This window comes from Homo sapiens, chromosome 3 (genome assembly GCF_000001405.40).
Source record: "Homo sapiens chromosome 3, GRCh38.p14 Primary Assembly".
In the NCBI taxonomy this organism is placed as follows: domain Eukaryota; kingdom Metazoa; phylum Chordata; class Mammalia; order Primates; family Hominidae; genus Homo; species Homo sapiens.
Window position 1 is genome coordinate 52,188,851 of NC_000003.12, and position 9,211 is coordinate 52,198,061.

Genomic DNA, 9,211 nt, shown 5'->3' on the forward strand with positions numbered 1-9,211 from the left:
AGGCAAGCCCTGGAGAGAGGATGCCACCAGTAGCCCCTTGGGCAGCTTGGTCCGAGGGTCTTGACAAGGAGGTGGATGACAAGGTGAGGACCCAGTGATTGAGGTGCAGCTGCAGGTAGGCAGGCCAGCTTACATCCTGACTCCAGCTCCGAAACTTTGAACAAGTCACCTTCCCAATGCTCAGTTCCCTCATCTGTAACCCACAGCTAATATTACCTGCATGCTGTTTCCAGGAACAGGTGCCTCTACCAATCACAGCAGCAGCGTCTCACTGACCTTTCCACTCATTGAGTGGAAAGTATGTCAGGGTTCTCCAGATAAACAGAACCAATAGGAGAGAGAGAGAGATGGATTTTAAGGAATTGGGTCACATGATCGTGGATGCTGATAAGCTGGAACTTGGTAGGGCAGGCTGGCTGGCTTGAAACTCAGACAATATCTCTACTTTACATCTTGTGACAGAACTTCTCCTTTTCCAGGAAACCTTGGTTTTTGCTCTGAAGGCCTTCGGTTGATTGATTGAGGCCCACATTACTGGTGATAATCTCCTTTACTTAAAGTCAACTGGTTTTAGATATTAATTGCACGTACAAAATACCTTCCCAGCAACATCTAGACTAGGTTTTTTGTTTGTTTGTTTGTTTTGTTTTGTTTTGTTGTTGTTGTTGTTGTTTTTGAGATGGAGTTTCACTATCGCTGAGGCTGGAGTGCAGTGGCTTGATCTTGGCTCACTGCAACCCCCGCCTCCCGGGTTCAAGTGATCCTCCTGCCTCAGCCTCCAGAGTAGCTGGGATTACAGGCACATGCCACCATGCCCAGCTAATTTTTGTATTTTTAGTAGAGATGGGGTTTCACCATGTTGGCCAGGGCCTCGGCCTCCCAAAGTGCTGGGATTACAGGCATGAGCCACCGCACCTGGCCTAGACTAGTATTTAATAAAACAATGGGCACCATAGCCTTGCCAAGTTGACACACAGCATTTAGCCAGTATAGAAAATATCACTCCCTTTCTGTGCATGAGGAAACTGAAGCTCAGAAAGGCTGTGCCAACTGCTTAAGGACATAGAGCACACAGAGGATGGAACGGGGAGTCGAACCCAGGCAGCGCACTGCCTCCACACTCTGAGAATGGGGCTGCAGGTAGCTGCTTCACAGGGGGCCTATGAGAGTTGAAACACACAGTACTTGGTACCACACTACAGTAGAGACACAATTCAATTTGGTAGTGACTGTTATTACTACTACTGTTAACACAGATCATTCAATAAGGGGGTGGCTGTGGGAGCAGGGAGAGGAGACAGGGAGGAGGGGGCTGCTGTTCCCCACCATTGGAGATGGGTTTTAGGGTGACAGAAAACCCTTTCCTCTTTCCAGAAGGGCCCGCTTTCCTCCTTCTAGGAACCTCCAAGGAGAGAGCCAAGGAGGGTGGGAGGCCTCTGCCAGGCTGTGGGCCCTGGGTGCTGTGCAACTGGGCCCAGAGCAGCTGGCCAGGTCCAGGGGAGAGAGTGAGCAGTGTCCACCAGTGTGTGGGGTCTGGAAGGAGTCCTGCCTTCTGAGGATGTGGCTGGTTGCCCAGAAGTTCCCGGAAGTGGGCAACCTCTCCTGAGTTGGGTGGCCGGCAGCTGGCCAGAGCCTTGGCCAGCCTCCTTGGCTAAGTGCTCCCATCTGCCTGCCCGAACTAGTCCTGTCACCCAGAAACAGAGAAATGCCTCCCCTGAGACCCAAGACCCTTGAAGCTGCCCCAGCCTCATTCCTCCCAGCTTCTTCACCCCGCCCCCACAGGGTGGAGTGCTGGACCAGAAGCCAGAAGGGCCAGGAGGTCAGCCACTCTCCCCACTTGCTGGCTGTATGACCTTGTGCAACTTAACCATTCTGAGCCTCTGTTCCTTGTATGGGACTGACATCTGTAGGGTGCACTGTGTGGGGGGTCTGGGGTTGTGCACTTAATCACAGAGCCAGGTCAAACATTTGCACACAGCGGCTGCTGCTACCATCTTTGCTCAGCAGATTCTCATGCTCCCTGGCCTTCTCCTTACTGGCCCTGCCCAGCCGATCCACATTCACTCTCTTCTCACTCCTCCTCCCCTTTGTTCCAGCTCCCTTGTGTCCGGGCAGAAGGGGTGCTGGGTAGGCCTTTAAATGCCAACAGGGCCAGAGAGAAATAAGGTCCCTGAATTGGTGGATAATTGCACTGTTGATTATGGCGAGATTCTAATGTCTCCCGGCCTGGATCTGCCACCCCCCACCCCCGCCCCGTTCTCTTGACTTCAGCCTCCCTGTCTTCCTCCATGCTCCTTCTCCATATCAGGCTCCCTCTAGCCTTCACTGGGGGCCCCTCAGCCTGGTCGCTCTGTCCTAGGTGGCATCTGCTTGACACCAGGGTGCAGCCCTGAGGTGGGTCCCCCTTCCCATCCCGCCATTCTCTAATCCAGCACCCTTGTCCACACTGGTCACAGACTGCTACGGCTTCTTTGCTGATGTCTGTCTGCCCAGCAGCTCAGGAGGACAGGGAGGGAGGCTTCCCCGCACTGCACATCCTCATCCCGCCAAGCCCCTGCATGTGGATCAGGCAGACCAGGGCCCCTTGAAGGTGATGAGGCAGGGGCAGGCACAGCCGGCCATAGGAGAGGGCTCAGCCTGTGCCTGCCCCTGCCCCATTATCTTCAAGGGGCCCTGATCTGCCTGATCCACATGCAGGGGCTTGGGGGGAAGATGACAAGCATGGAGGAATCCACCTCTGGGCTAGTCCCTTCCAGGAGGCCCCTTATAGCTAGCCTGATCCTTCCCCTAGCCACTGACCCCAGACCCTCCTCCAGAAGCTGTGAGTGTAGTGTGGAAGACATAGAAATCAGGACACCTGGGTCCCCCTACAGCCCAACATCACTTTCTGTGTGACCTCGAGCAAGTCCTCTCCCCTCTCTGAGTCTTAGTCTCCCTGGCTGTAAAATGGCTTAGGGCTGGGAACACACACTGATGCCTACAAGGCCAGGGAGGTGTCGCTGCTTGGACATTACATTCCTCAGGGTTGGGGACGCACTGAAGGGAGAGCTGATAGAGAAGTGGAGAGAGCACACCCTGCCTGGGCTAGCCCAGGGGCTCCAGGTCTACTGATTCCTCAAAAGAAGCTGAACATCTGAGGCTTGATGAGAAAATTCCTGCTGGTTAAATGTTGACAATGCATTCACATTTTATTATAAAACAAGAATGCCGGGCGCAGTGGCTCACGCCTGTAATCCCAGCGCTTTGGGAGGCCGAGGTGGGCGGATCACGAGGTCAGGAGATTGAGACCCTCCTGGCTAACATGGTGAAACCCCGTCTCTACTAAAAATACAAAAAATTAGCCGGGCATGGTGGTGGACGCCTGTAGTCCCAGCTACTTGGGAGGCTGAGGCAGGAGGATGGCATGAACCCGGGAGGCGGAGCTTGCGGTGAGCCAAGATTGTGCCACTGCACTCCAGCCTGGGCGACAGAGTGAGACTCTGTCTCAAAAAAAAAAACAAAAAACAAAAAACAAAACAAAACAAACAAACAAAAACTACGTGGGCCACACAGAACTTATCTGGGCCACAGTTTGTGGGTGCTAGGCTGGAGGGCTGGGTTCAGGGGTCCTCTGGGGCTCTCTGGGCATTTTCTGCTCTCTAGGATGGGGGCTGCTGCTCCCTGCAAAGCCCCCCCACTCCAGACCTATCTCCTGAAGCATTTATTGGCTTTGCTCCACTCCAGCCCCTCTCTCTCTTCTCACAAACCAGAGCTCACCCCTTGCTCTGCAACCACAGTCTAACGGGATTCCAAAGACAGGGTTAGGACAAGGCCAGCGCCAGAGACCTCAGAACCCTTTTGCTCTGCCAACCCCGAAATTCCATCTCACATGGTGGCTCCTGGGCCCCATCATGGTAAACTGGAGCTCATGCCTCCAACTGTTCAGGGCAGAGCTGGGCTGTTTCCAGATCCTCTACCCACTGTGTGCGGCTGGCCCCCATCTACCACTGTATAGAAGGGCACTGACACCCCAAGGAGCAGCAGCAGCACAGGTTGGAGCTGTCCTATGTCCACCTGGGGTCTCTTTGAGAAGGATGCAAGATTTCTTGCTTGACTGACAGATGTGGAAACTGAGGCCCAGAAGAAAGCAGCAGGTTTGCCAAGACTGTGCTACCTCACCTTCTTGGAGGAGTGCTACTACAAATAGTTCCTGGGAGAAGGGGTCCTGGTGATGAGTGCTGCGTTCTCTCCCTGAGTCCACTCGCCCGCCTGCCACCCTCCACCGTCGCACCCTGCAAACCCACCCCTCTCCTGTGCTAGAACTTGCTAACACCAGTACCATGCCCTACCAATATCCATTGCTGACCCCGGAGCAGAAGGAGCTGTCTGACATGACTCATCGCATCGTAGCTCTGGGCAAGGGCATCCCGGCTGCAGATGAGTCCACTGGGAGCACTGCCAAGTGGCTGCAGTCCATTGGCACCGAGAATACCGAGGAGAACCGGTGCTTCTACCGCCAGCTGTGGCTGACAGCTGACAACCGCGTGAACCCCTGCATCAAGGGTGTCATCCTCTTCCATGAGACGCTGTACCAAAAGGCGGATGATGGGCGTCCCTTCCCCCAAGTTATCAAATCCAAGGGCAATGTTGTGAGCATCAAGGTAGACAAGGGGGTGGTACCCCTGGAAAGGGCAAATGGTGAGACCACCACCCAAGGGCTGGATGGGCTGTCTGAGCGCTGTGCCCCATACAAGAAGGATGGAGCCCACTTTGCCAAGTGGCATCATGTGCTGAAGATTGGGAAACACACCCCCTCAGCCCTCACCATCATTGAAAATGCCAACATCAGCTGGGCGCGGTGGCTCACGCCTGTAATCCCAGCACTCTGGGAGGCTGAGGTAGGTGGATCATCTGAGGTCAGGAGTTCGAGACCAGCCTGGCCAACATGGTGAAATCCCATCTCTACTAAAAACACAAAAATGAGCTAGGCGTGGTGGCACACACCTGTAGTCCCAGCTACTTGGGAGGCTGAGGCAGGAGAATCGCTTGAACCTGGGAGACAGAGGTCGCATGAGCTGAGATTGCACCACTGCACTCCAGCCTGGGTGACAGAGTGAGACGCCGTCTTGAAAGAAAAAGAAAGAAAAGAAAGAAAAAGAAAGAAAGAAAGAAAGAAAGAAAGAAAGAAAGAAAGAAAGAAAGAAAGAAAGAAAGAAAGAAAGAAAGAAAAGAAAGAGAAAATGCTAGTGTGTCAATGTCCTGGCCCACTATGCCAGCATCTGCCAGCAGAATGGCATTGTGCTCATCGTGGAGCCTGAGGATCCTCCCCAGTGGGGACCATGACTTGTAGTACTGCCAGTATGTAACCGAGAAGGTGTGGCTGCTCTACAAGGCTCTGAGTGACCATGACATCTACCTGGAAGGCACCTTGCTGAAGTCCAATATGGTCACCCCAGGCCATGCCTGCATCCAGAAGTTTTCTCATGAGGAGATTGCCATGGCAACTGTCACAAGCACTACACTCTGGGGAATAAGCGGCCTAGAAGGATCACAACTGGGCCAGAACAGGGCCCACCCAGACTCATCACTGAGGCAGGTGGGGTCATTCTCACTTCACAGACACAAAAACTAAGTGCTGCACTGCACAGTGTCCCCCACTGTCCCTGGGATCACCTTCCTGTCTGGAGGCCAGAGCAAGGAAGTGTCCATCAACCTCAATGCCATTAACAAGTGCCCCCTCCTGAAGCCCTGGGGCCTGACCTTCTCATATAGCTGAGCCCTGCAGGCCTCTGCCCTGAAGGCCTGGGGCAGGAAGAAGGAGAACCTGAAGGCTGTGCAGAAGGAGTATGTCAAGTGAGCCCTGGCAGATAGCCACGCCTGTCAAGGAAAGTATACTCCAAGCGGTCAGGCTGGGGCTGCTGCCAGTGAGTCCCTCTTCATCTTTAACCATGCCTAGTAAGCGGAGGTGTTCCCAGGCTGCCCCCCAACACCCCAGGCCCCATCCCCTCCCACGCTCTCTTGAAGAGGGGGACTCCTCTTCGGGGCTCCAGGCTGGCTTGCCCGCGCGCTTGCCTCCCTCGTGACAGCGGTGTGTGTTGTCTGTGAATGCTAACTCCATCACCCTTTCTAGCACATTGCTAATAAACAGCTATTTAAGGGAGAAAAAATAAAAATAAAAATAAAAATAGTTCCTGGGGCCCAGAATAAAAAGGGGGAATTCTAGGGGCTGGGGTTGACATTTTCCTTTTGCCTTGACCATTGGGTGGGTACTATGTGCAGCAGCCCCGGACGGTGATAGTGATGGTAATGATGACCATGATGCAGACTGGGTGGGAGGGAAAAAAGTCCCCAGCGTCATCCCTGGGATGGGGCCTGACCTTGCCTCAACTCCAGCTGCCCAGGGCCAGAGCGAGTGATAAGATGAGTTTATACTGTAGCTCTGAGAAGGAAGGGAGGGAGGGAGAAGGAGGGAAGGAGGGAAAAGGGAGGGAGGGGTAAGGGAGAGAGAAAAAGGGAGAGAAAGGGAAAAGAAGATGGGGAAGGAGGGAAGGACAAGGGAGGAGTGAGAGGCGAAGAAGGAGAAGGAAAAGAAGAAAAAGAAAGAAGAAGAGGAGGAGGGGGCGGAGGGGAGAAGAAGAGGCCCCGAAGGATCACAACTGGAGCAGAATAGTGCCCACCCAGACTCATCACTGAGGCAGATGGGGTCATTCTCATTTCACAGACACAAAAACTAAGATTTAAGGCATGAGGCAATTTGCTCAAGATCTCAGAGTTAGGACTAGAACTCATGGCTTATGCCTTGCTCTTCAAGGTCTCAAACCTTGAACCACTCAAGAAACATATTCCAAGATACCTCACCCTTACCTCATCAGAAAGGGGAGCTGGTTAAAATGCAGATTTCTGGGTCAAAATCAAAGGTGTGTGGCACAGGAATCTGCATTTTGACCGGTACCCTGGGGGTGGTTCTTTGGGCCCTGACACTGGGAAACCCCGTGGCTCATTTAGGGCCTTTCTGGTCTGACCTCTTGGCGTCAGGTCCTGACCATACTCCCGTTGCCCAGCTATTTGGGCTGACTCACGCTGACCCCCCAACCGCCACCCCCACAGGGCTGAGCCTTTTCCATCCAAGGCTTCACCCACAGTCTCCCAGTCGCATGTAGATCCACCCTTCCAACCAGCACCCGCTTCTCTTCTGGAAGCCTTCCTCGTGGTTGGGATCCTCCTCTTTCAGCGCCTGTTGGAGTAATAGCCTCCTCCTCTTCCTCCATCTGGAGTTGCTTACAACACTCTATTTCACTTTCCATGTGAGTCGGCCTTGTTTCCCAATCTTTCTCTATATTAAACAGGAAACTCCCAGAGGGCTAGGGACTGGCTGGTTTAAACAATAAGCCTCTGAAATACAGGACTTCACCTGACCCTCCTGCCAGCCACAAGTGGCAGGGCGGGAGAGCTTTACAAATCAGGAAACCAAGCCTTGAAGAGGTTGTGGCCTGCCCAAGTCTATGGCCAAGTAAGATTCAGAGCTGGGTTTGAAACCCATGCCCAACTCCACTATCCAGTTCTTTCTGCTTTGGCTTTGGCTCTGATCACCCCCAAAAAAACCCTATGAGGGCCAGGCGCAGTGGCTCAAGCCTATAATCCCAGAACTTTGGGAAGCTGAGGGTGATCACTTGAGGTCAGGAGTTCAAGACCAGCCTGGCCATCATGGTGAAACCCCATCTCTACTAAAAATACAAAAATTAGCTGGGCGTGGTGGTGTAATCCCAGCTGCTCAGGAGGCTGAGGCAGAAGAATCGCTTGAACCTGGGAGGCAGAGGTTGCAGTGAGCCGAGATTGTGCCACTGCACTCCGGCCTGGGCAACAGAGGGAGACTCTGTCTCAAACAAACAAACAAAATAACAACAACAACAAAAACAACCTGTGAGGCAGGCATTTCAGGGATTATGATCCTATTGCCCAGATAAGGAAAGCAAGGCCCAAAGATGAGCAAAGCACTCAATATCATCCTTATTCTGTTCCCACTTCCAGCTGCACTTGGGTCCAAGTCCAAGTGCTGACCTTTTCTCTCTCATCTTCTCTGGGTGATGGGCACTGCCCAGGATCTCTTGGCTGAATGGCACAGAACTGGGTCTCGAGCTCTCAGACCAAAGCCCTCATCCTGGACTGGTCCCACTGCCACTCTGAACCCAGGTGCCTCCTCTGAAGGTGGAGACTCACCTCACCTGCCTTGCAGCCAGCTGGGTGCTCAGAGACAGAAATGCAAAGTACCTGGACACACCCTGGTCACCATCATTCTGGACTTTGTCCCTCTTGTTAATGCTCAGCTGGGAAAGGAATACCCTCAAAGGCCCTTTCCTCAAGAATGGAGGAGAGTACCTCTGAGCCTGGCACAGGCCCAGCCCAACACAGCCCAAGCCAAGCTGGGAAGGGTGTGGGGCAAGGAAGCCAGACTGACATTCCTGAGACGGGTTTGCCAAGCCCTACACTTTATGTGTTGTACCCGGGAAACTCAATGGAGGTATGGCCCAACGCTGACCTTTGGCATGGAGGCCTAAGCCACCCTGCTGGTGCCCAGGGTGGCCAGCAAGGGGCTTCAGACAACCCTGGATGGAAAATAAAAATAGTGGCTAATATTTGTTACACGCTAACTATTGTCAGGCCCTGTGCCTTCCCCTCCTCCCCAAGTGCTCAGAGCTGTGGAGTGGATGGGTTCCACCCTAGCCCTGTTCCTCTGTCCCCTCTGGATCATCTTAGACCAGAAAGTGCCACAGCTGAGTGTCCCGCTTCTTCCGCATCCTGCCAGGACCACTCCATTTGTGGGCGATATAGCCAGCTCCACCTCCTCCGGGAAGCCCTTGTTCACAGTTTCCAAAGCAAGCCGCAGGCGGGATGGATCCTGCTTAACACCCCGGCCCAGAACCCCTTGGATCTCCTTCTTCCTCCATGTCCAAGACACCCAGCTTAACAACCCTGTAGCCCCCAACTTGGCCCTAGCGGCACCTCGCCTCGACCTTGCCATTTTATACTCAATTGGGGCGTAGGGTTCTGAAGCCCAGGGTAGTTGGTGGGGAGGCAGCACGAGGGTGCAGGATGAGGTCGGGAAAAGAGACCTCGTCCGCCCACCGCCTAGCGCTTCCTCCTCCCTGCAGGCGAGCCGGGGAATCCCCGGCAGCACCGATATCCGCAGAGCCCAAGAAGTGGGCCTCTCTGCCCCGCCCCCCCGGCTCGCCGA

The 9,211-nt window shown here is 53.9% G+C and overlaps 1 pseudogene, besides 4 other annotated features; it reads left to right on the forward strand.

Moving 5' to 3' along the window:
- Positions 303 to 597: an enhancer, noted in NCBI's record as "tiled region #13023; K562 Activating DNase matched - State 8:EnhW". NCBI's record gives its function as "activates a minimal TATA promoter and a strong SV40 promoter by Sharpr-MPRA in K562 cells {active_cell/tissue: K562}" and the evidence as "EXISTENCE:reporter gene assay evidence [ECO:0000049][PMID:27701403]".
- Positions 303 to 597: a silencer, noted in NCBI's record as "tiled region #13023; HepG2 Repressive non-DNase unmatched - State 3:PromF". NCBI's record gives its function as "weakly represses a minimal TATA promoter and a strong SV40 promoter by Sharpr-MPRA in HepG2 cells {active_cell/tissue: HepG2}" and the evidence as "EXISTENCE:reporter gene assay evidence [ECO:0000049][PMID:27701403]".
- ALDOAP1 (ALDOA pseudogene 1) lies at positions 4,195 to 6,141 on the forward strand (annotated as a pseudogene).
- Positions 8,852 to 8,921: an enhancer, noted in NCBI's record as "active region_19928". NCBI's record gives its function as "activates an Ori minimal core promoter by ATAC-STARR-seq in GM12878 lymphoblastoid cells {active_cell/tissue: GM12878}" and the evidence as "EXISTENCE:reporter gene assay evidence [ECO:0000049][PMID:35858748]".
- Positions 8,932 to 9,151: an enhancer, noted in NCBI's record as "active region_19929". NCBI's record gives its function as "activates an Ori minimal core promoter by ATAC-STARR-seq in GM12878 lymphoblastoid cells {active_cell/tissue: GM12878}" and the evidence as "EXISTENCE:reporter gene assay evidence [ECO:0000049][PMID:35858748]".